Below are 24546 nucleotides of genomic sequence, written 5' to 3'. Positions count from 1 at the left end.
GTACCCACCTACCTACCACAGCCTCTCCACAGCCCCAAGCCCCGCCTCCACCCCGCCTCCCCTCCGGATCCCAGGACCACCCATCGCCGGAAGCTAGGCGCGTGACGACGGCGCACTTACGGCAACCCACGCCTTCGACGTGGCGTTTTCTTCGGTTTCACTTCCGGTAGGAGAGTCCCAAACGGCCAGCGGCTGGGAATTTGCGGTATCGCGGGGGGGTGGGAAATTTCCCTTGGTGCGTGCTCCTTCTGATGTCAGCCTTCAAAACGTTTGTGGGACTCCCCTTTGATTTGAGTCTCTGCTGCTAGCAGCTGCTTCCCTGACCTCTAAAACCAGGAAAGACCATAGGTTCTCTAAGTGAGCAGCCGCCGTTTGCTGCTCTTAGAAAACTCACAGAAGTGAAGAGTGTTTCTTTCCTGACTTATTCCTGTTCCCCTAGGCAGGCGTGCTAGGGGTTAGGAGTTCTGCCGTGATTCTTCTTCATTCATTTATTAATCTATTCATTCACGTATTCATTCATTGGCTTATGCATTTATGTACTCATTGATTGATTGATCGATTGCAGACGAGGTCGGGCTGTGTTGCCCAGGGGGACTCAATTTCCTGGGCTCAAGCGATCTTCCTGCCTCGACTTCCCAAAGTGGTGGGATTGCAGGCTCAGCCACCGCGCCCGGCCCCTGTCGTGATTCTTAGTTCTGAAAAGAATTGATTGGGAGACGAGCCATGGAAGGCCTGGAGCCACAGAGTTCAGTTATGTGATTAATAATAACACATAATAATAACACATAGCACCCCTCTCCATTTTGCCAAGCATTAGGTATGTTCGTGGATCCCAGATCGAAGTCCACGCATAAGCCAATTCGCTGTGTAATTGTTTTCAATTCCACTTTCCATGGTTAGGTTCTAGCATTGAAAAGAAAAGCTTCACAGCCTGGCATGAAACGAAACTGAATGTCCTTGAAACCAGTTGACGGAGGAGCAAGCTTAAAATTTTTTTAGACTCTGACTTCAGTCAGATGGTTGGATTTTAACCTTGGCAACGTGGCCTTTTAACATGCCAAACTCTTGAGTTAACCTGTACAAGGAGAATGTATGACTTACGTCCTCCCAGTGCTATGGTTTAAAGACCCTTTAAGACTTAGATGCAGGATAATATGCTCCAACGTTACAACATTAAAGGCAAGTTTCAACCTCCTATGTAGAGGAAAAAGAATGTACTGACCCTATGCAAACTTAACTTTCATGACTATCAGTTGGACCATAAATGTGAATAATTTTGTGTTTGTGTAAGTAATGGCTTAAAAGGACATTTTTAGTCCTAGCTTCATTATCACAAAACAAACTTTAGATTCCGTAACAGCTTCTTCAATTGTTAGACATGGATGTAAACCACATTCTGCTTTTTTTTTTTTTTTCTGGCTTTCGGATTTCTAAGAAACCATTTCTGAAAAGAACAAAGCATTTTTGTATGAAGATGCAGACATTTGGCTGGGCGCTGGGGCTCATGCTTGTAATCCCAGCACTTTGGGAGGCTGAGGCGGGTGGATCACGAAGTCAAGAGATGGAGACCATCCTGGCCAACATGGTGAAACCCTGTCTCTACTAAAAATACAAAAATTAGCCGGGTGTGGTGGCACGCGCCTGTAATCCTAGCTACTCAGGAGGCTGAGGCAGGAGAATTGCTTGAACCTGGGAGGCAGAGGTTGCAGGGAGCAGAGATCACACCAGGGCACTTCAGCCTGGCGACAGAGTGAGACTCCGTCTAAAAAAATAAAAATAAAAATAAAATAAAGAAAATGCAGAGATTTGAAGCAAAAAAAACTATAGATTTCTTAAACATTTTTATGATATTTTAGAGACAGTAAGTTTGAATTATACTTCTACTTTTAACTAAGTGGAATGAATGTATTTATTTGAACATGGCTCTTGATATTTTTATTGGTTTTGTTTCTTTGAAATTTCAGAAAACTTTAGTGTTGAAGTTTTCAGTTCGTTAAAATTTACTTTTAACTTACTTTTAACACCTTTCTTATGAACAATTTACCTGACAATGAGACTGTTCTAATATTTTAAAAATATTTTTTCATATTTAAAAGTTTTGTTTGCTGATTTGGAAATCTAAAATTTTTACAAACTGGAGGGAAAGAAAAATAGCCACAATTATCAAAAGTAATATGATTGATTAACAGAATATAGTTGTGTATTATCTAAACAGATATCATGCTGATGTACCTATCGATCTGTTAGAAAAAATACTTTCAATTACATTAGGAGAGGCACGGTGGCTCATGCCTGTGATGCTAGCAGTTTGGGAGGCCAAGGCAGGTGGATTACTTGAGCCCAGGAATTTTAGATCAACCCAGACAACATGGAGAAATCCTGTCTCTCCAAAAAAATACAAAAGTTAGCTGGACATGGTGGTGCACATGTGTAGTCCCGACTAATGAGGTGGCTGAGGCAAGAGGCTCATTTGAGCCAAGGAGGTCAAGACTGCAGTGGGCTAAGATCGTGCATCTGGACTCCAGCCTGGGTGACAGTGAGACCCTGTCTGAACCAAAAAAAAAAAAAAAAAAAAAAAAAAGGATTGTAACTAATTTTCTTAAGTGTTCATTGGAAATAACTTCCTTTAATTAAATTGGAATCCCAGTAAAATCTCTATCCAGTTCAACAAAATATTTTAAAGAGTTCAAGGAAGAAAAATGTCAAACAACTCGGGAATTCAAAAAATAAAACTATAAGATGTTTTTAAAAGGAACTATTACAAACTAACTTCAGATAATACTTGGAAGAGCTAGCTGTAGCTGTAATTGAATTCAATTTATTACTTATACAACTCTGATCAATTTGTCCATTGCTTTTTTTAAACGGAGTCTCACTCTGTCACCTAGGCTGGAGTGCAGTTGTGTGATCTCAGCTCACTGCAACCTCTGCCTCCCGGGTTCAAGCAGTTCTCCTGCCTCAGTCTCTTGAGTAGCTGGGATTACAGGCATGCACCACCATGCCCAGTTAATTTTTGTATTTTTAGTAGAGATGGGGTTTCACCATGTTGGTCAGGCTGGTCTTGAACTCCTGACCTCGTGATCCACCTGCCTTGGCCTCCCAAAGTGCTGGAAGCCACCATTTTTTAACTTTCCTCAACCTTTAAGGTAATGCCCATTGTGATTTTAGTTTAGTTGATCAGTCTCCAGATTAGGTGTGACTGATAGATTTCCCGTCAGAAAATTCTACCTGCCATATGGTCTGAAATCAATATGATCGCCTTCTGTAAATATCTATTGAGAGACCAACAATTTTTGATGCTGTAAGTAATATAAAAGAAACTCACGTCTCGCTCCTATCATTACGAAAAGTGTATTGATAAAATGTTGATAAATTTCTGACAAAGTTGCTTTATGTTTACAAAGAGAAGCCATAATATCCTGAGTTTCAAAATATCTACTAGATCAAACTAGCCGTAGGTCTATGACTTTGGTCATAATTCAATCAATGAGAATTGACATCTCTTCTGTAGTTTAGGGCTCAATGTCACCAGCCTTCCTACATTTGATAAATGCTCCTTCCAACAGGTACTTCAAAGCTTGTATCATCAACACATGTAGTCCTTTAGGGGCTCGGCTGCTCAGTGTGGCAGTCATGGTGGCTTATAAATTACCCATTTATAGTAGGTTTTTGGCTTTTGAAGCTGACTCAATTTCTTGAAGCTTCTGGTCCTGTCTTCTCTGGAAACAGCTTTGCCCCTCTTTACTACAGTCCCATTCCTTCGGGTGGAGCCTCTTACATTTCCTAAACACCTGAAATCTTCACTCCTCCCTTAGATAGAAAAGTTGACTCTCTTGACATGTCAGAATTTAGGTCACTTTAGTTCTTTCCTCACAAATGACGTTTCACTATCCTATAGCCATTCCTTCAGTACATGTATATTAATACTATGTAACATTTACAGAGGACTTTGTTCTAGTACCATTTAAAGCACTCTACCTAATTTGTTTGGTTTATAGTAAAATTGTGAAGCAGGAGCTATTATCTGTATTTCACAGATGAAGAAACTGAAGTGAAAAGAACTTTAATACTTGACTGAGGTTGCAAGAACTGGAATCTGCACCCTAGTAGCTTGACACCAGAGGTGTCAAAGATATAGATTGCCCAGGAACCCTGCTAAACTTCAGTCATATGTTAATACCATTTTCTTTGTAAGAATCTATGTTGTTTGTTCCTTTCTTAGGTGGGAAGGATACGAGCAAGATAAAGCAGCGAGGGATTTAAGTCTGGCAACAGTTGGACTGCTGGATTTTCAGAGAAGTGTTCCCCAAAGCAAATTATAGTGCTAATTTCCAATGTTCCATAAGCGTGGCAAGAAAAATGGGAAGTTCTCGGTAAGGTATATAGTATTATTTCTAGAAATAAAGATGAACCAATCCAAGATTGATTTTTTGTTTGTTTAATCCTGGCAGTATTCTTAACTAAATTGTATTCATTCTTCCCTTTACTTTCCAGACTTTTTAATTTTATTTATTTTTTTATTTTTTGAGACAGAGTCTTGCCCAGGCTGGAGTGCAGTGCCACAATCTTGGCTCACTGCAACCTCTGCCTCCCTGGTTCAAGCGTTTCTCCTGCCTCACCCTCCCAAGTAGCTGGGACTACAGGCACGTGCCATCACGCCAGGCTAATTTTTGCATTTTTAGTACAGATGGGGTTTTACATATTGATCAGGCTGGTCTTGGACTCCTGACTTGGTGATCCACCCGCCTCAGCCTCCCAAAGTGTTGGGATTACAGGCATGAGCCACTGCGCCAGGCCACTTTCCAGATACTATAGTCCCTAATTTATTGTGTCTCAAATGCCAAATAAATTTGAGCTTAGACTGGAGCTGCTGTACTGATACAGGATTGGATTTATGGGTGAATGGGTGACTATAGGTGTCATGTTATTTTCATAGAACCATTCAGGTTTGAAATTAAGAAGGAAAGAAGTTCCCTTGAATGGAGATAGCCAGAGGCAGAATTAAGACCTTTCTTCCAAGATCAGTCTGAAATAACATTTTGGCAAGTAAAAGAGGCATGTCTGTCATAGAAGAAATAAAAAGGCAACCTGGAAGAACAGAAAAAGGGAGGACTAGATAGAAATTAGTTAACTGTCTAGCTGGGCATGGTGGCAGGCACCTGTAATACCAGCTACTCAGGAGGCTGAGGCAGGAGAATCGCTTGAACCCAGGAAGCGGAGGTTGCAGTGAGCCGAGATCATGCCATTGCACTCCAGCCTGGGCGACAGAGTGAGACTCGAGGGCAGTGATCACCTAAATCAGTGTTTTATCAACCTTTTAAAATTATCATCCCCCTAAAGAGCCTTTCTAGACATTTTTTCCTGCTAATTCTCCCATACCCTTACCATGAAATTAAATGCTCAGGAGTGATTGTTTTGGTAAGGTTAAGCTTTGGAGTTCCACAAACTAAAAAGAGTGAGATTGTATCAAAAATTGTTTCAGTCCTCCCTGAGTTCCCCACACCCTGGGGAGCCATGTCGCCCATATGAAGAACTTGTAGCCTAAATAAATCTTATATGGGTGTATTCATAGAGTAGTTTTCCTTTGCTTACATAGCACATATCTACTATGCCAACCTCTTGTTTTGTAATATGCTTTTCTTGGATCCAGCCTTAGAATCCCAAGAGATATCTTCGTCAACATTAACTGTCATTACTATAACATCTAGTCAAGAATAGTCTAAATGGCTGGGTGTGGTGGCTCACGCCTGTAATCCCAGCACTTTGGGAGGCTGAAGTGGGTGGATCACTTTGAGCTGAGGAGTTCGAGACCAGCCTGAGCAACATGGTGAAACCCCATCTCTACTAAAAATACAAAAATTAGCCGGGCGTGGTGGTGGGCACCTATGATCCCAGCTACTGGGGAGGCTGAGGCAGGAGAATCACTTGAACCTGGGAGGCAGAGGTTGCAGTGAGCTGAGATAGCACCACTGCACTCCAGCCTGAGCGACAGAATGAGACTCCATCTCAAACAAACAAAAAAGTCTAAATGTCCTCAATTCTGTCCGTGTGTGGCACTAGTGAAGTAATTTCTGGCAAATGCTTTATCAGCATTTTCTTTCCATAGTTTATAGAGATGTTCATCCATCTTTTCATTTAGTCATTCAGTAAGTATTTGAGTGCCCATTATGGATTAGGCTTGGGTACATAGTGGTGTGATAAAGTCTCTATCCTTGTGGAGTTTAAAATGTAGTTCAACTTGTTTCTCCTCCTTTATCGCTAAAATACAGATTCTAGCCATCAGTGGTGCTATGGTCACCATGAAATTCAGGCTACAGAAATTCCTTTGGAAATGTCTGATTTAGACATTTATCACTTTCAGATGTTTTAGCCATGAAAGAATCTCATGGATTTATTGAAGAAATATGCTATGGTCAAGGACAAGGTATTGGCTCTAGAAGCCAAATTACTAGTCTTTATCCTGGCTTTTTATTTGTGAGAACATGGAGAGTTGTTTCAACCCTAGGAACCTTGATTTACTCTTTAAAACAGAGAAAATGGGCTGGGCGTGGTGGCTCACGCCTGTAATCCCAGCACTTTGGGAGGCTAGAGAGTCAGATCAGTTGAAGTCAGGAGTTTGAGACCAGCCTGGCCAGCATGGTGAAACCCCGTCTCTATTAAAATTACAAAGATTAGCTGGGCCTGGTGGCACATGCCTGTAATTTTAGCTACTCGGGAGGCCAAGGCAGGAGAATCTCTTGAACCAGGAGGTGGAGGTTGCAGTGAGTCGAGATCCCACCATTCCACTCCAGTCTGGGCGACAGAGACTCAAAAAAAAAAAAAAAAAAAGAGCAGAGAAAATGATAAACAACTTGCAGGTTGTTGTGTGGTATAATGGTCATTCATTATTTTCTACTCTTTCTGGTAAAGAGTTGGTGTGTCATGGAAAGTACCTGTTCTATGTGTGTGTGTCTGTGTGTATAATTCGGTGTGAAAATTAAAGAGAAAAAAACAATAAAAAACCCTTTCCTATACTTATGTGTAAATTACCATGGTGTGCTGCAAAAAACATATGTCAAGGTGATAGAATTATTTTGACTTTCCTGTACAGTTATAAAATGACTCAGTGAGTTTGGTTAGATATCCTCGTTCTTTGAATCTATATCCTTGTCTGCTTATGATGAAAAAAAAGAAAAAAAAATAATGGCGAGGGTCTTCCAAACTCTAAAGAATATGTCAACTATGATACAAGTAGCAGTTAGCCTTATAACTAACTGTAAACACTGTCTGTGGGTTTTAAGTTTTACCTGAGCATTGGATATTAACAGACCATTAGCCCAACTTTCAAAAATATGAACCCTATGAACTTCACAACTGAAGTCAGATCTGTATGCCTGAGAGAGGTAAAATCATGTCATGAAATCAAACGGTGGCTGATGCGCCCAAATTCTGGCCTCATCCTCTAACTGGAGGACATCTGGCAGGACAGCAACTGGGCTGTGCCTTTTTTCAGTCCAGCAACATCTTCCACTCAACCCACGCCATTTGGCTGTTTCCCCATTGCCCCTGGCACCTAGCCCTCCGGTACCGGGAACTAAATATCTTTGACCATCCCGCCCGCGGGGTCTGCCTACTTAACCTGAGGCAGGTGAAAGAGCCTCACGCAGGGTTAGGAACCTCCGGGGGCGTGGCGTAGCGTAACGCAGTGTTGGGGAAACTTGCGGCTGTGGATTGGGGGACCGGAAAGGGAGGGGTGGGCCGCAGGCGCCGGACGTGACGTAAGCCGGAAGCGACTTTCCGCCGAGAAATAGGGGGCGCGTGTTTGGAAATTGATAGAAAAGATAAAGGGACCGAGCTGCTGTCAGCCTGGCTTACTGATCTGCGTCCGTTTCACCACGGATTCAGTTACTAAGCATTTTTTTCTTTTTTTGGTTCTTTGCAACGTGAGTGGCATTGGCTCAGTGATTTCCATGAGCATCTCTACCAGAAAACATTGCCTCGATGAGGTGTGGTGGAAGCCCGGCAGCCCCTTCTAATCGGCTAGGCTTGAGAAAGCGTGTACCTCTGCATTTCCGAAATTAACTCAGCGTGATCGGCAAGATTTTCCTCAGCATCTGGTGTCAAGACACTCGTCACTATTAATTCGGAAAGAAAAAAAAAAACAAAACACCGTTTTCCAGCATTTCTCTTGGTGGAGAACTAAACAACAGGAAAAATGTCTATTTTCCCTAAGATATCTTTGAGACCTGAGGTTGAAAACTATCTTAAGGAAGGCTTTATGAATAAGGAGGTAGGTCAAGTAAAGATGTTAGTTGATATTTTGCAAAAACTCAAATATTCGCACACTCGAGAGAAATAGAAATAAGTATAAAGGGAAATCTTGACAGCCGTCGTTCCTTACTACTTGTCTATCAAGTGTAAAAATACCAATATGTTTCTACAGGTATTAAAGCTTACTGAGATACGAAGTGAATAAGGTATATGTTTTAACATTTAGGAGTGGAAAAGAAGGGAAAAAAGGCATGTGCCTGTCAGGCATGGCACAAAGGGTTACAAGGATGAACAAGAAAAGGTCCCTGTCTTCAAGAACTCGAATCGAATTTTAAAAGAGCGCTGGCTCTGGCACTCAGGTGAAAAGGTTTCTGTAATTTGTTGAGTGCCTCTTAAATGCCAGCAGTTGTGCTAGGAGATTTGCATCTTTAATCTTCACAATCTTTTTTTTCTTAGAGGTTTTTCCTCTTTTAATAGACTTGAGCAGAAAACTGCTCAAGGAATTGTGTAACTGATCCAAGTTGACACAGCTATCAAGTAACTATTGAAATCTGGAGGGAAAGAGTTCAGGTGTAATGAACAAAGGTACAGCTTTTGAATCTCAGGCACATGATTTGCATTCTAGTGCTTTGTAAATTACGTGGCTTAACCTAGATTTTTCTCTTCTGTGAAAAATTGAGAATGGTTAAAAATATCTTGCCAGGTTGTTTTAGGATATTAAACGTAAGTGAATACAACTAGCATTGTTTTGGCATGTAAGTCCTCAAAAAATGTTAATTTTATTTGCTAAAGTCCTCAGTAAATGTTGATTATCTTTGATTGCAAAGCCTGTTGTCTATTCCATTTTACCATGCTGCCTCTAAGCAACTTTGTTTTTTTTCAAATCTTTAATTTTTTAGTCAAGTTAAAAATATTTTACCAGGTTGTTTTAGGATATTAAACGTAAATGAAAACAACTTGCATTGTTTTGGCATGTAAGTCTTCAAAAAATGTTAATTTTGTTTGCAATTGGCAGTGCCTGCCACAGAAGTCCTCAGTAAATGTTGATTGTCTTTTATTGCAAAGCCTGTCCTCTCTACCACTTTACCATGTTGCCTCTAAGCAACTTTGTTTTTTTTGAAATCTTTAGTTTTCTTAGTTAGAGTAACACCACTTAAATGTTACTCATTTTTGAATATGTTATTGAAGCCATGCCTTTTAGATTTGATTTCTACGTTTCATTTCCAAAGATTAGCTTGAGGTACTAGACTGTATGGAAAGAGAAAATATATTCTGTTGATTTCAAGGGACTTAAAATATAAGGCACATATTAGGAGAAGTAGGGGCATACCACAATTTTTTCAGCAGATTTTAAAATGGAGAACGTCGTTTTATAAAGAAGATCCAAACGTCTTTCTTTGACACTGCCTCTGCCTCGAGTCTCATCAGTGGTATGGTTTTACAAAATGAAAAGCTATGCCTTTGTGAAAAGTACTGAAGGGAAAGGAATATTAAGTTTTATGCCTTTTTTTTTTTTTTTTGAGACAGGGTCTCCCTCTGTTGCCCATGTTGGAGTGCAGTGACATGATCACAGCTCACTGCTGCTTCGACCTCTGGGACTCAAGTGATCCTCTCACCTCAGCCTCCCGAGTAGCTGGGACCTCAGACAGGGGCCACCACTCTGGCTAATAATATTTGTATTGTTTGTAGTGATGGGGTTTCACCATGTTGCCCAGGCTGAATGTTCAGTTTTGATAAGACTAAACCTTGAGAAAGTATGAATACTTTTAAGGCTGGTGCATGAGTAGGCTAACAAGTGGTTTGTGAAGATTCTGTAAAGCAGGGTTTAGTCAAATAGGAAGACAAAGAAATACGTTTCTTGAAAAGCTTCGGTTAATTACAAGGGAATATTGTTGAGTCTTTATACCGTCATATTTGACAGGTGTCTTTGCTACTCATCTTTTTTGGATAATATATATTTGTTACATTTAATAACACCATATTAAAAAGCTGATGTCCTAGGGGAATCTTTATATGACAGTGACTATATCAATATTACTTATTTTTTAAATATTGGTATTTTAAAAGGATACCAGCCAGTTTGCTCTTGGATATGATGTTAGCTAATTAGCTAACGTCCAACTAACTTGGATATAATGCTAGCTCTACAGAGATGCTGTAATGGTAATGCATTATAAATAGACTGAATTCCTGAATTTATGTGAATAAATGTAGCAGATACTAATATTTGGAAAATGTTCATAATGCTTTGAAGTTTAGGCAATGTTTTTCTAAGCCCTTTATTTCAGGCATTTTCTTAGGTGTTTATTACCATGTTGAAGCCCAAGAACCCCGTGAAGTATTACTATTTCCTTAGTTGCTATTAACATATAAACAATACAGCAAAATAGAATGGAGCTGAACAATTGCTAAGCGATGTTTCATTAGATGGAATTAATATATAAGGATGCTCTGCTGACTGTTTTTAATTCTCAGGAAATTTAAACATGAACTTCTTTTTAGATTGTGACTGCTTTAGGTAAACAAGAAGCAGAAAGGAAGTTTGAAACTTTGTTAAAGCACCTGTCACATCCTCCATCATTTACAACTGTCAGAGTGAATACACATTTAGCCTCAGTACAACATGTGAAAAATCTGTTACTTGATGAACTTCAGAAGGTTTGTGGAAATTTTCTGTCATTTGTACATAATTACATTTTTGCAATCTACCATGTTTTCCATTAAAATCCTATGAATGATATAATACACTTCCAGTTTTACAGATAAGGAGATTGAGGACCATGAATGGTAAATTCTTCAAAGTTATCCTAGGTGGTAATGCTAGAACTTGAACCTAGTACTTCTGATTCTAAATTTATTCATTTTTGGTGACTAAAATAGCTCATTAAACCCCTCTGGGCCGCATTAAACTGGGCCTTAGTAGCTTCATCATTAAAATACATGTGAAGAAGTCCAGTCTAACCTTAAAAACCTGTGGCTTTGTGATAAGTAGCATATAATGACCAGGAGGACAGATGGTATAGCTGAGATAATAAGCCCAGGGGTAAGGAGGTACATACTAAGTACCTGTGAGATTATATTGTTAATTGACATAAAAAAATAGATGTTGGGCCAGGCGTGGTGGCTCATGCCTGTAATCGCAGCATTTTGGGAGGCTGAAGCAGGTGGATCACATGAGGCCAGGACTTTGGGACCAGCCTGGCCAGTATGGCGAAACCCTGTCTCTACTAAAACATATAAAAAAATTATTCGGGCATGATGGCACATGCCTGTGATCTCAGCTACTTGGGAGGCTGAGGCACGAGTAATCCCTTGAACCCGGGAGGTGGAGGTTGCAGTGAGCCGAAATTGCATGACTGCACTCCAGCCTGGGCGATGGAATGAGACTCTGTCTCAAAAAAAAAAAAAAAAAAAAAAAAAAACAAGGTGTTGAGCGCCTTATGTTTTATAAAACCAGGAAATTAAGATGATGAATCTGAATCTATTTTCAATGTAAAACAGCATGAGACTTTTTTTACCCAACCAATAAAATAGTTTTGGCAAAATATTCCTCTTACAGATGAAAACAATATTATAAAATGGCATTTATGACTTCTAAGCAGAAAGTATGAGTTATCTTGTTTATATTTTTTTGAGTTATCTTGTATATACTCTTTTGCTTTTGAAAGCTTTGCCTTAGGTGTTTCATACACTGTACACTGAAATTTACCTCAAAAGCAATGTAGGATGTAGAAGAATAGATGCTGAGAGGTACCACATAAATTGTATACTGTAGTTATTCACTGACTGGTAACATGTAACGTGGGTGTCAGCAGACTCATTTCTGCCTTATTTGTGTCTGAGTTAAAAGCGAGAGGCAACCATGATTAAAGGGTTTCCATTTGTCAATCACAAGCTGTATTTAGTTATTTAGAAAATTTCAGAAAATTATCACTGAGTCACTTATCCCCTTTTAAAAAATCTCTCTATTACATTTATGGACTCTTTGTCATACTCTATTTAAGAACAACTATAAGTACCAAGTTGTGAATAGACAACCATGTTATTAGAAGAACCAGCTATGGCATCTCAGTGTATGAGACCAAACCTTAGTATAATAATTAAATAAGATTTTTTAAAAATTAATCTGATTTTTATTGATAGTGATAATCTTATTGAGAGTAATGACAGGTATAAAACATAAGTAGTTGCCCTAAGCAACTAAAATCATTACTTTTCCATAACCATGTGTATGTTTTCAGCTAATAAAAAGGAAACTGTTCTGAGGCCCACTGGAAGTATCCATAACTCAGATCCAGATTTTTTTTGTTTTGTTTTGAGAGGGAGTCTCACTCTGTCGCCCAGGCTGCAGTGCGGTGGCACGATCTTGGCTCACTGCAACCTCTGCTTCCTGTGTTCAAGCGATTCTCCTGCCTCAACCTCCCAAGTAGCTGGGACTACAGACGCCTGCTACATTTTTGTATTTTTAGTAGAGATGGGGTTTCACCATATTGGCTAGGCTGGTCTCGAACTCCTGACCCTGTGATCTGCCCACCTTGGCCTCCCAAACTGCTGGGATTACAGGCGTGAGGCCTTGTGCCTGGCTTTATTATTTTTTTTTTCCACAACAAATGATTTCCAGAACCTGGATATTTTAGCATCCTAGTCTGGATATACAAGATCCCATGGGCTAGGATCAGTCACTCTGGACTTTGGGTCCCTTTCTTTGAAGGTTAACGTTGGACAGGGAAGCTTCGGTCAGAGTCACTAGATAGGAAACCAATGGTAAAGCAGTACCCGATTCTAGTAAGAAAGTGTACTTGGAGGAGGTTTTAGGCTGTGGATTTCTTTTTCCTTTCACGTTGAAAAGTTCACGTGTCCTAAAGAGATGTCCTGAATAGGATGATATAAAAGTAAGTGTTTTCTCCCCAATATCTGTGCACCACATATTGAATTATTATTATCATTATTTTTTAGATGGAGTCTCGCTCTGTTGCTCAGGCTGGAGTGCAGTGGTGCGATCTTGGCTCACTGCAACCTCTGCCTCCCAGGTTCAAGCGATTCTCCTGGCTTAGCCTCCCGAGTAGCTGGGATTATATGCACTCGCCACAATGCTCGGCTAATTTTGATATTCTTAGCACAGATGGGATTTCACCATGTTGGCCAGGCTGGTCTCGAACTCCTAACTTCAAGTGATCTGCGTGCCTTGGCTTCCCAAAATGTTGGGATTACACGCGTGAATCCCATATATCTCCGTGCCTGGCCTGAAATTTAATAATATAAAATTTAATTAGGCTGGTGACAATATGGAGAAGCTGGAATCTTCAAACATTGTAGGTTGAAATGTAAATAATATGATCTCTTTGGAACATTGGTGGTATCTTAAAAAGTTAATCATACTCTAAAACCCAGCAATTCCACTCCTAGGTATATACTCCAAATAAATGAAAACATATGTTCATATAAATTCTCCAGCATGAATGTTCATAGCAGCACTACTCATAATAATCAAAAGGGGATACTCCAAATATACATCAGCTCTTAAGTAGATAAACAAAATGTGATATATTCATACAGTAGAATCCTTCAGCAATAAAAATTATGAACTAGAATGAACTGATACATGCTACAGTATGGATTAACCTCAAAAATATTAAAGAAGGTAGACACGGATGCTACGTATTGTTTCAAATTTTGGATTTTTTAGCTTTTAGAATATTTGCATGTATATAATGAGAGATAAAGGATGTGGGACCCAAGTCTAACATGAAATTCTTTTATGTTTCATATTCACCTTGTATACATAGCCTGAAGGTAATTTTATACAATATTTTATATAATTTTGTGCAGGAAACAGTTTATATACATTAAACCATCAGAAAGCAAAGGTGTCACTATCTCAGCCATGTGGACAATCTGGTTGTTTGACATCACTATCATTCCTGACTCTGAATTTATATACAGAGAAAATTGTATTTATATACATTTTCTTTTTTTTTTTTTTTTTTTTTGAGAGGGAGTCTCGCTCTGTCAGCCAGGCTGGAGTGCAATGGCGCGATCTCAGCTCACTGCAACCTCTGCCTCCCAGGTTCAAGCAATTCTCCTGCCTCAGCCACCTGAGTAGCTGGGATTACAGGTGCGCTCAAAGACACCCAGCTAATTTTTGTATTTTTAGTAGAGACAGGGTTTCACTGTGTTGGCCAGGCTGGTCTCAAACCTCTAACCTCAGGTTATCCACCTGCTTCGGCCTCACAGAGTGCTGGGATTACAGGAGTGAGCCACCGTGCCTGACCTACACGTTTTCAGTTTTTTTTTTTTGTTTTTTTTTTGAGACGGAGTCTCGCTCTGTCGCCCAGGCTGGAGTGCAGTGGCGTGATCTTGGCTCACTGCAAGCTCCACCTCCTGGGTTCACGCCATTCTCCTGCCTCAGCCTCCCGAGTAGCTGGGACTACAGGCGCCCGCCACCACACCCGGCTAATTTTTTTTTTGTATTTTTAGTAGACACAGGGTTTCACCATGTTAGCCAGGATGGTCTCGATCTCCTGACCTCGTGATCCACCCGCCTCGGCCTCCCAAAGTGCTGGGATTACAGGCATGAGCCACTGCGCCCGGCCAACATTTTCTTGTACTTACTCATATGTAAGCACTTAACAGTAAAAAAAAAAAAGACATACCTTAATACAGTGAAAAAAATAATGTGTTCAGGGTAACTAAGCAGCACAGTAGCATCACCAGAGTACCTGAATTAGCTGTTCAACAACAACAAAAACACAATAGGCTGGATGAACTGTGTTGTGAGCCTGCATTTTGACTTTGACCAGTCTGGGTCAAGTATGGAATTTTCTACTTCTGGCATCATGTCAGCATTCAAAAAGTTTTGGATTTGTAACATTTCAGATTTTTAGACTAGGGATGCTTGGTTTGTATTCCATTTATGTGAAATGTCCAGAAAAAGGCACATTTATAGAGAAAGAAAGATAGTGGTTGCCTAGCAATGGGAACAGGGATTGACTGCCAGTGAGCGTGAAGGATCTTTGTGGGATGATGGAAATTGTCTAAAACTGGAGTACAGTTCTTTAAATTTACTAAAAATCATTGAATTGTACGTTTAAAATGGGTGAAATTTATGGTATGTAAATTATCTCAATAAGGCTGTTTTAAAATAGCATTGGGCAGAAACCAACATTAAAAGAAGCTGGTGATATACTTGGTTTGGAAAAAAACGTGTGTTATGAAGGGTATGTACATGTGTGGTTTTATGGGTTTTATTTATATATTAACATGCTTCTAATCGAAAGGGAGAGACAATGACCTTTGGCTTGAGAAGCTTTGATCTCTGTATAAGATATTTCTATAGTCTAAATCAAATGTTACTTATAAAACAAAACAAAAATCAAAGTTCATTATCTTCTCTTTGGCAAGATTTGTTCCCTATAATTGATACTGTAAGGCTATCAAAATGATGAAGGAGGGAGGGAAAGAGAAAGGAAGAAGGATTTGATTGATTGAGGTGGAATTTATCTTTCAGATTGCTTATTAGTTATCTGTTGGATAACTAGACCCTTTGGAAGAAGCAGAAGTTCAGAGAGCTGGTGACTTGGTAGATATGAAGTTTTATTTCTAAAATATGCACGATTATTTTCTGTTTCCTTATCAACTTAGAAATCAGTAAGTTGATCTCAGAAGTTTTCTGTAGATAGTGTATGAATCCTGTGGGGCAATGCAAACATGCATTGTGGTGATTGGTCTTTTATGTAGTATGTGAAAATGGAGTTGATAAACCCTAACCTACGAGGCAGACTTGTTGTCAGATATTTGCGTGCTGCCCTCTAATAGAGTATACGGTCCCTGTCATCCAGTCCCCTATGCAGCTGTTTTTTATTCTGTGTAGGGTGTCCAATTGTCTTCTGCTTGTGACAGTGGTATGCTGGTACATATTTAACAAACCCTTTCTGGGAAAAATAACCCCAATTTGTGGTGTTTGTTGATTTCTGTGGTATAAATACTCACCATGTTCCCTGGTAGCTACATGTGTGACCATGGAATTGGAAAGAGATGCATGCAGTGGCTCTCCTGAGCTGGTGTGAGCTGGCTCCCGCACCTGTACCTGCTTTCAGTGTGATAATCTTCTGGTTCCCTTATAATAGAGGATACTGAAAATCCCAAACCTCTACCATAAACATTTCTTTTCCTCACCAAAGCTGACATGGATGCCAGTGTTGATTGTGTATATTAGGTAGTATTTATCAATAGTAATCTCAGTCTTTAACATCTTATTCAGAAACTTTTCTTAAAGGAATACTACATGTAATTCTATATTAAATAAAAGTTTCTAAAGTAAATCATTTAGGGTAACCACGGTTTGTGTTTATAATGCCAAATAGTAAGCAAAATTGAGTCTTATAAGGAAGTTAGGATACTTCAGAATTAAAATAGAGAAAACATTGTTGTTTTGAGGTCTTTTGGATTTTTACAGTATCCCGTGGAATAAGGTGAAAATGCCCCAGAGCTACTAGGGCTTCATGCTGTGGTAGATGATGATACTGAAAAGTTCCATAAGTTGAAATGTATCAAATGTATGGATTACTTTATAATCATGTTTATCTTTAACAGCAGTTTAATGGATTAAGTGTTCCTATTCTTCAACATCCAGACCTTCAAGATGTGTTACTTATTCCTGTTATTGGACCCAGGTTTGTAAGAACTTCATTTCCAAATTATATTATTCTCAATAAAAGTTTGTCACAGGGAGCTTTTTAATTGTTCAGTGATAATACTAAGTTTCTCCATTGTTAGCAACTTTCTATAGATAACAGGAATTCAAAACTTCATAAATGCAGACTTTAGACTCTGTCATGGAAAATAATACAAAAGAAGGCTAGGAATGGGCCCAAGGATCTTGAGAATAATGCATTTTAGGTCCATTTAGTGCAGTGATGTTTTCCCCCCCCCACTTTCTGTGAAGTTTTATTTCATTTGTTTACTTGTATTTCATATGAATTTTCAGTGCTAAATTAAAACTCTTTTTTGAGCTGCAACAAAAATATAGAGTAACCTGTTTTCTACTTTCATAGCTGATATGTTTGTAAAATTTTATTTTTTGAGAAAGCGTCCTGCTCTGTTACCCAGGCTGGAGTGCAGGGACACAAGCATAGCTCATTGCAGGCTCGAACTTCTGGACTCAGGCAATTATACCACCTCAGCTTCTGAGTAGCTGGGACTACAGTTGCGCACCACTGCACCTGGCTAATTTATTTTTTATTTTGTAGAAACAGTCACACTATGTGTCCCAGGCTGGTATTGAAGTCCTAGCCTCAAACAATCCTCCCACCTTAGCCTCTCAAAGTATTGGGATTACTGATGTGAGCCACGTTGCCCAGCCTGTAAAATTTTATTCATAATTCAACAATTATGTTAAACTACTGTGTCCCATTTATGTTCTGCGCGTTTACGTATTTGGAAAGCATATGTTTGAAAATTGAAAAATAGGTTTCAGGCTGGATCTGGTGGCTTACTTATTCCTGTTATCCCAGCACTTTGGGAGGCTGAGGTAGGCGGATCCCTTGAGCCCAGGGGTTGGAGACCAGTCTGGGCAACATGGCAAAACCTTACCTCTAGTAAAAGAAATTACAAAAATTAGCTGGGTATGGTGGTGCTTACCTGTCGTCACGGCTATTCAGGAGGCTGAGGTGGAAGGATCATTTGAGCCTGGGAGGTGGAGGCTGCAGTGAGCCATGATTGTGCTACTGCAGTCCAGCCTGGGAGACAGAGCGGGACCTTGTCTCAAAAAAAAAAAAAAGGAAAAATAAGTTTTCATAGTATAATGATTATAATGGAGTTTTATTCCTATGGAGCATTTTAAAATTCCTAATTATAGTCTAAAGTCTTTTTAAACTCCTAAGAATTATAATAAATATAGAAATGCTTTTGTTAAAATTGAAGTTTGTTAAAACTTCAATTTAGTGGGCAGCAATAGAGCAGTGGTTTAATAAACTATGATTTGTCCATGCAATGGGATAGTATATGGCCTTTAATATGGGAGAATTCTACTTACCAATCAGAGAAGATGTTTATGATCAGTTTTTAAGTATCAAAAGCAAATTGCTATACTTGGGATAATTACTTTTTTTGCAGTTAATAAAAGTACACAACTGTGGATTTATGTATATTTATTTACATGTAAAAAAACATCTGGAAGCTGTAACATACCCACCTTTTAATAGTGGTTAACTCTGAGGAAATTAGATTGGGAGAGAGGGGGGAAATAAAAGGAAATTTTCATGTGTAATATTTTTGTTTTTTTTTTTTTTACTATAAGAATGTATTTTTGCAATTAAAGTTGATTTGTATAGGCTCATTCTATTTAGTTTAATTTTTAAAGTTTTTCATCTTGTATTCAGTTGTTTAAAGGTGAAAGTTACATACAGTGAAACGAAGAGATCTTAAATGTTTAGTTTGTTGGGTTTTGACAAATATGTACAACTGTGCAGCCAAGACCCACCCCAGTCAAGATAGAGCATTTCCATTATCCCAGAAACATCTCTTGTACTCAGCTACCCTACCAGGAAGCTGCTCTTCTGATTTCTATCATCTCTTAGTTTTGGACCAGTTAGCTGCTACTATAATAGACCATAATCACAGATCTTTGGAGGTTACTACACTCCTTATGAGGATGCAAAATTGTACTTATTTAGGTTCAAACTTTGGCCATTTCTTATTCTGTTAAACACTTTTTCTTTATTCTTTAGTTTTATTTAGTTTCCCTAAAGATAGAGTTAAATTAGGTTTTTCTTTATAGAAGCAAGTAAAAATTAGAGTTGTACATAAGTATAAAAGTAATCATCTGTTACATCTCCTGTCCCACCTCACCTCCCACTTTTGTTTCTCTGAGCATCAAATTTGATTTTTTATAGACCGTCTCTGTGCTTATAGCTGCATACATGAATGCACATGCGTAATCATGTGTACTCATTTTTAGAAAATAGAAAAGATTACAATGTTCTGCAATTTGCTTTTGTGTTCACTTAAAAATGTATAATGGATATCGTTCCACGATTATGTAACACTATTTCATTCTTTTTAATGGCTGCATGAACAGTATATTTTATCATTTAGCTTAGTTTAAATTTTCAATCCTCCATTGATAGACATTTAGTTTTTTCCTGTTTTTCATTGTTACGAGAGGTGTTAGAGTGAATATTTGTGTACTTGCATAAGCATGTCTGCAGAACAAACTGATATGACACAGAATAACCAGTTCAAAGGTCTGTGCTTATTTTAGTTGGAGACATATTACCAGATTACCCTCTACAAAGTTTTACCAGTTAATGTTTCAGCAGTGTATGAGAGATTTTGATGCTTTCATTCTTGCCAATACTGGCTATTTTAGGTCTCTAAAATATTTGGATGATTTAACTTTAATTATTTTCAATACTTACTTTTACATGGCCTTAATCATCCTTTCATTCTGTTCTTTGTAGTGATCTAAGCTACTCATCAGAACATGAGTGAATGTATAAATACAAATGGTGAGCTATTGCAGGGAAGCCTGAAAAAATTATTCACATACCCACCTTTCATTCTTAAAAAGAATAAGTCAATTACTTTTTGTTTTTTTAACTCCTGATTTTTATTAAGTATCTGTTTTTAAAATTTTTTTGTTTTTATTTTTTTTGAGACGGAGTCTCAAGTCTGTCACCCCGGCTGGAGTGCAGTGATGTGACCTTGGTTCACTGCAACCTCCCCCTCCCAGGTTCAAGCAGTTCTCCTGACTCAGCCTCCCGAGTAGCTGGGGCTACAGGCGCATGCCACCACACCTGGCTTCATTTTTGTATTTTTAGTAGAGACTGTGTTTCACCATATTGGCCAGGCTGGTTTCCAACTTCTGACTTCATGATCCGCCTGCCTCACCCTCCCAAAGTGCTGGGATTACAGGTGTGAGCCACCGCACCCGGCCTATTAAGTCTCTTTTTGACTTTCCATTATGAGAAATGAGGAGGTTCCTGGAGTTAAATTTTCCCTAAAATTCCTACCAGCTAATTTGTATTTACTGTTGTTGTTTTTTGTTTGTTTGTTTGTTTGAGACGAGGTCTCGCCGTGTTGCCCAAGCTGGTCTCAAACTCCTGAGCTCAAGTGATCTACTCTCCTCGGCCTCCCAAAGAGCTAGGATTACAAGTGCCAGCCACCATGGCCGGCCAGTTTTTTTTTTTTTTTTTTTTTTTAACATTGTCAAGCTTTATAACATTGTTATTTCCCAAGTATAATTCACATACATGTGGTGCTTGCTTTCAGTCCTTATGGCACAGTTTCTCATTTCTTATCTTTATTAATGTCGTTGTTGGTGAGTACAGTCACTTAGCAGATTTCCCGCACCCCCTGCCCTTTCCCTAAGTGTGCCTTTTATGTACTGCGTTACTTTCTTACTTGAGAATGTCTGCCTGTTGCCTTTATGTTTATACAACAAGTTGGCTGAGTCTGGTTGTTTCAGGCCACATAGTATTTCCCTTAGCACTTTGTAGACATTGTTTTTATAACCTGTGGCATCAAATGTTATTGTGAAGAAATCTAAGGCCCACCAAAAACTTTTCCTCCTTGTAACAGTACCTTGTCTTTTGCTTAGAGACCTGTGGGATTTTTAGTTACTGAACTTCAGACATTTGGCCAGTGTAATGCTTGATTTTGATTATTTCCTCTTAGTTCTTCTTTTTTGTTTGTTTTGTTTTGTTTTGAGATGGAGGCTCACTCTGTTGCCCAGGCTGGAGTGCAGTGGCACGATCTTGGCTCACTGCAACCTCCGCCTCCTGGGTTCAAGTGATTCTCCTGCCTCATGCTCCCGAGTAGTTGAGATTACAGGCAGCTGCCACCATGCCCAGCTAATTTTTTGTATTTTTAGTAGATGGGGTTTCTCCATGTTGGGCAGTCTGGTCTCAAATTCGTGACCTCAGGTGATCCACCCACCTCAGCCTCCCAAAGTGCTGGGATTACAGGTGTGAGCCACCTCACCTGGCCAACTTTTGCCATTTCTTATTATGTTAAACACCTCTTCTTTATTCTTTAGTTTTATTTAGTTTTCCTAAAGATAGTTCACTTAGGTTTTTCTTTATAGAAGCAAGTGAAAACTAGAGTTGTACATAAATATAAAAGTAATCATCTGTTACGTCTCCTGTCCCACCTCCCAATTTTGTTTCTCTGAGCATCCAATTTGATATTTTCTGAACTGTCTCTGTGCTTACATCTGCATACATGAATGCACATGTACAGTCATTTGTACTCATTTTTAGAAAATAGAAAAGATGATAATATTCTGCAATTTGTTTTGTGTTCACTTAAAAATATATAATGGATATCGTCTCACAATTATATAACACTATTTCATTCTTTCTAATGGCTACATTAACAGTATGTTTTATCATTTAGCTCAGTTTAAATTTTCTATCCTCCATTGATAGACATTTAGTTTTTTCCTGTTTTTCATTATTACCGGAAGTGTTGGAGTCAATATTTGTGGACTTGCATAAGCATGTCTGCAGAACAAACTGATATGACACAGAATAACCAGTTCAAAGGTCTGTGCTTATTTTAGTTGGAGACATATTACCAGATTACCCTCTACAAAGTTTTACCAGTTTGTTTCAGCAGTATATGAGAGATTTTGATGCTTTCATTCTTGCCAGTACTGGCCATTTTAGTTCTCTAAAATATATGGATGATTTAACTTTAAATTATTTTCAATACTTACTTTTATGTGGCTTTAATCATCCTTTCATTCTGTTCTTTGTAGTGATCTAGGCTACTCATCAGAACATAAGTGAATGTATAAAATACAAATGGTGAGCTATTGCAGGGAAGCTTGAAAAAATTATTTAGGATTGTAAATTCACATACCTACATTTCATTCCTGAAAAGAGGCCGGGCGTGGTGGCTCACGCCTGTAATCCCAGCACTTTGGGAGGCCCAGGGGGGTGGATCACCTGAGGCCAGGAGTTTTAGACCAGCCTGAGCAACATGGTGAAACCCTGTCTCTACTATAAATACAAACATTATCTGGGTGTGGTGGTGCATGCCTATAATCCCAGCTACTTGGGAGGCTGAGGAAGGAGACTCGCTTGATCCCAGGAGGTGGAGGTTGTAGTGAGCTGAGATCTCGCCATTGCACTGGAGCCCGGACGATAAGACTGAAACTCCATCTCAAAAAAAAAAAAAAAAGTCAATTCCTTTTTTTTTTTTTTTAACTCCTGATTTTTATTAAGTATATATATTTTTAATTATTTTTATTTTTTTGAGATGGAATCTTGGTCTGTCGCCCAGGCTGGAGTGCAGTGAAGTGACCTTGGTTCATTGTAAGCTCCGCCTCCCAGGTTCAAGCAGTTCTGCCTCAGCCTCCCGAGTAGCTGGGACTACAGGCGTGTGCCACCACGCCCGACTAATTTTTGTATTTTTAATAGAGACTGGGTTTCACCATATTGGCCAGGCTGGTCTCGAACTCCTGACCTTGTGATCTGCCCGCCTCCACCTCCCAAAGTGCTGGGATTACAGGCATGAGCCACTGTGCCCAGCCCATTCAGTCTCTTTTGACTTTCCATTATGAGAAATGAGGAGGTTCCTGGAGTTAAATTTTCCCTAAAATTCCTACCACCTAGTTTGTATTTACTGTTTTTTGTTTTGTTTTGTTTTTGAGATGGGGTCTTGCTGTGCTGCCCAGGCTGGTCTCGAACTCCTGAGCTCAAGTGATCCACCCTCCTTGGCCTCCCAAAGTGCTAGGATTATAAGTGCCAGCCACCATGGCCGGCCAGTTTTTTTTTTTTTTTTTTAACATTGTCAAGCTTTATATCATGTTATTTCCCAAGTATAATTCACATGGATGCAGTGCTTACTTTCAGTCCTTATGGCACAGTTTATTTCTCATTTCTTATCTTTATTAATGTCTTTGTTGGTGAGTACAGTCACTTGGCAGATCTCCCGCACCCCCTGCCCTTTGCCGAAGGTTACCTCTTATGTACTGCGTTACTTTCTTGATTGGGAATGTCTGCCTGTTGCCTTTATGTTTATACAACAAGTTAGCTGAGTCTGGTTGTTCAGGCCACATAGTATTTCCCTTAGCATTTTGTAGACATTGTTTTTATAACCTGTGGTATCAAATGTTATTGTGAAGAAATCTAAGGCCCACCAAAAACTTTTCCTCCTTGTAACAGTACCTTGTCTTCTGCTTGGAGATCTGTGGAATTCTTACTTATTGAACTTTAGACATTTGGCCAGTGTAATGCTCGATTTTGATTATTTCCTCTTAGTTCTTCTTTGTCTTTTTTTTTTAAAAAAAACGACAAAAAACAACAACACAGAGTCTCACTCTGTCACCCAGACTGGAGTGCAGTGGCAGGATCTCGGCTCACTGCAACCCCTGCCTCCCGGGTTCAAGTGGTTCTCCTGCCTCAGCCTCCCGAGTAGCTGGGATTACAGGTGCCCACCACCATACCTGGCTAATTTTTGTATTTTTAGCAGAGACGGAGTTTTACCATGTTGGCCAGGCTGGTCTTCGAAATCCTGAACTCAGGTGATCCACCCACCTTGGCTTCCCAAAGTACTGGGATTACAAATGTGAGCCACCACACTCAGCCTATTTCCTCTTAGCTTTTGATGAGACACAGTGTAGCTTTCCAGTCATAGGTCTTCCATTATTTCTTTGAATATTTTTTCTTACCTTTTCTGTATTCTCTGTTATAAAGGCAGCAGGACTTTGTGTGCTGCGTTTCTGGCACAGATATTACCTACATCAGAGATTCCCAAGACAGCCCTCAGGTTTAGTGATTGGCTAAGACTCACAGAACCTATCATACAGTCACACTAATGGCTAAGGTTTATTACATGAAAGCATACAAAAGCAAAACCAGCAAGGGAAAAGAGGCATGGGGTGAAGTTTGGAAGAAACCAAACACAGGCTGTCTCAGTGAGGTCCCATAGGACATGCTTAATTCCTCCAGCACCTAATTGTGACATGTAAAATAGTTGTCTAGAAGAAAAGCTCATCAGAGGCTTGGTGCCCAAGGGTTTTATTGGGCTGGTCACATAGGCACCCTCTGCGTAGCACATACCAAAATCCCCAGACTCCCAAAAGGAAAGCAGGTGTTCCGAATAAACATGTTTGTACCTTGTACAGAGTTTAGGAATTGTGAGCCACTCTTATTTATCATTAGGGAAGGTTTTATGTCACCGTTGGGAACTGTTTCTCATTCCAGTTTCTAGCTGCTTAGCTAGCCAAGACCCATCCTCTCAAGCAACCCTTTCTAAGAACCGCAGTCTCCAGCCTGTTACTTTAACTTT

At 39.4% G+C, this 24546-nt stretch overlaps 1 protein-coding gene across 20 annotated transcripts in view, besides 3 other annotated features; it reads left to right on the top strand.

Moving 5' to 3' along the window:
- Window positions 1–70: 70 nt before the first annotated feature.
- Window positions 71–24546, top strand: part of NSUN6 (NOP2/Sun RNA methyltransferase 6) — a 113767-nt gene continuing 89291 nt past the window's right edge. For 5 of the 20 annotated variants that reach the window (NM_182543.5, XM_047424777.1, XM_047424782.1 and 2 more), the window contains exons 1-3: window positions 7811–8269; window positions 10753–10908; window positions 16843–16922. In NM_182543.5, coding sequence (NP_872349.1) covers window positions 8195–8269; window positions 10753–10908; window positions 16843–16922 — 311 coding nt within the window. In that variant the 5' untranslated portion in view covers window positions 7811–8194. Of the gene's footprint in view, window positions 3302–4222; window positions 4374–7810; window positions 8270–10752; window positions 10909–15757; window positions 15830–16842; window positions 16923–24546 lie in introns of those variants that run through there. The other 15 variants (XM_047424778.1, XM_011519384.2, XM_024447884.2 and 12 more) reach the window with 10 other exon arrangements.
- Window positions 189–318: an enhancer, noted in NCBI's record as "active region_3116". NCBI's record gives its function as "activates an Ori minimal core promoter by ATAC-STARR-seq in GM12878 lymphoblastoid cells {active_cell/tissue: GM12878}" and the evidence as "EXISTENCE:reporter gene assay evidence [ECO:0000049][PMID:35858748]".
- Window positions 1019–1138: an enhancer, noted in NCBI's record as "active region_3115". NCBI's record gives its function as "activates an Ori minimal core promoter by ATAC-STARR-seq in GM12878 lymphoblastoid cells {active_cell/tissue: GM12878}" and the evidence as "EXISTENCE:reporter gene assay evidence [ECO:0000049][PMID:35858748]".
- Window positions 7572–7671: an enhancer, noted in NCBI's record as "active region_3114". NCBI's record gives its function as "activates an Ori minimal core promoter by ATAC-STARR-seq in GM12878 lymphoblastoid cells {active_cell/tissue: GM12878}" and the evidence as "EXISTENCE:reporter gene assay evidence [ECO:0000049][PMID:35858748]".

Source organism: Homo sapiens, chromosome 10 (assembly GCF_000001405.40).
Source record: "Homo sapiens chromosome 10, GRCh38.p14 Primary Assembly".
Classification (NCBI taxonomy): Eukaryota; Metazoa; Chordata; class Mammalia; order Primates; family Hominidae; genus Homo; species Homo sapiens.
Note: the sequence above shows the minus strand (reverse complement) of the source record. Positions and strands in the feature narration are given on the sequence as shown.